General features: G+C 36.0%; 1 annotated feature.

The window, feature by feature from the left end:
* Positions 733-1,027: an enhancer, noted in NCBI's record as "tiled region #1504; HepG2 Activating non-DNase unmatched - State 13:Ctcf". NCBI's record gives its function as "activates a minimal TATA promoter and a strong SV40 promoter by Sharpr-MPRA in HepG2 cells {active_cell/tissue: HepG2}" and the evidence as "EXISTENCE:reporter gene assay evidence [ECO:0000049][PMID:27701403]".

Here is a 1,862-nt window from a genome sequence, read left to right as displayed (position 1 = left end):
TGACCCACCAAGAAAATATGTCACATACATTATCCTGTGCTTTGCCACACACCTAGCACACTCTACTGTGTCCCTATGACTGGAAAAACGCAACTTTTTCTAGTTGAAAAGCATTAAGTTGATAACTAAACTTAACCCAGTTAAAGCACTCTTCTCTCCAGAAAGATCTTAAGTCATTGCTAATATTTGGGATTTCAAAGATCATGGCTCACCATTGGAAGGAAAATGTGAAGCAGAGGGCTCCTAAAGCAGATCTGGGTGTCTTCTTAAATAAAGACCCTAATGCCAGGCCCGATTCCACAGTTGTTTATCTTAGGAAAGCCCAAGCCATTTCAACTATGGGTTGAGTTGCCAATACAAGTTGGAAATATTCTGCATCTTAGCCATCTCTGAACATCAGCAGGCATACATGAGAATAGCGTGCACAATATGGCAGCTTCATAGCTTTACATAAGTGTGAGTACATTCCTTCAGTGTCGCACGCCTTAGAAAGTAATGTTGCAGTGAATACGAAAAGCATTCACAAACTGACATTTCTGTTTACCTAAGTGGTAGTTAGCAGCATCTCTGAATGATGATGTTTCTCCTATTATTTAATATCTGACAATATCTTGGCTCATGTTCTAGTGGATTTGATATAAGAAGGTTACTTGTGCAACACAGTTGTCTGTAGAGATAGAAGAATGTACTTATTTGGGGGTAAAAAGGAAAATAGAAGGATATATGCATTATGATACATGCGTCAATATCACTGTGACTATACAATGCTGTATCTTGAGGGACTTACTCTAAATACCATCCTTTCTTCCATCACATAATGCACATAATCACAGGCTTTCTGGCTCCTAGAAAAGGAAAGAATGCCATATTGATTGCTGTGGATACTAGCGGATTGAGCAGGCTGCTTCTGCCATACAGTGGGGACTGTTGAAATGGCAGCCACAGGAAGTGTCACCTACTTTCAGTCAAAGAGAAAACGTAAAATATTTACTGTCTATGCAATTCCTATTTTCAGTTATCTCAAATTAACAACAATTATAATACATAGCACACACAGAATGCTTTATATAATTGCAAGTGCATTGTGCAGCACAAAATGTACTGAAGATATGGTAAATATATAATTTCATTCTGTCATTTTACCTTATTAAATATCTAGTTTTTCTTGTATTTACAGTAAGACTACTTTTTAAAATTCAGGTCTGATATGTGTTTTTATACTTAATTTTAAAAATAGTATACTAAGTCCAAAGTAAGTAGCATTTTTGCTTTAGGGGGCAAAAATATCTCAGTCTGTGATGACAATTTTTTTTTCTATGAGAGGTTCCGTTTTTGTTTAAGCTAAGCATTGTTTTTAGGTAGAATATTCCTACCCCAAAGATTTAAGAATTCTTATAAAATAAATAGAAGTCTTTGTTTAACTTATAAGTTAGTTTTTAAACTGGATATTAAAAGAATACTCTAATGGTTGACTTCCCAAATTGATAGAGGCAGATGCAGGGATGGGTTATTTGGGCAGCTTTCCAGGGCACCAATCAACCAGGAGAACTGAAACATCAAGGAAAGCATAATGAAATGAATTTATGAAATCTCTATTTCAGACAGACTATTATATCTAATCTGAAGGAACATCTGTGATAAGCTTTTTGCATCTGGGAGGAAAACCCCCAAGTAGGAAGATAAAACTGACTGTAAGAAGAGTTTGAAACACTTAGCCAACAAGCAATAGAGGCGAAATTTCCTTTTTTTATTTTATAATTTCAACTTTTATTTTGGATTCAGGGGGTACATGTGCAGATTTGTTACATGGGTATGTTGTGACCCTGGGGTTGGGGTACGAATGATTCCATCATCCAGGTACT

Source organism: Homo sapiens, chromosome 5 (genome assembly GCF_000001405.40).
Source record: "Homo sapiens chromosome 5, GRCh38.p14 Primary Assembly".
Taxonomy (NCBI): Eukaryota; Metazoa; Chordata; class Mammalia; order Primates; family Hominidae; genus Homo; species Homo sapiens.
This window is presented reverse-complemented; position numbering and strand designations above follow the sequence as displayed.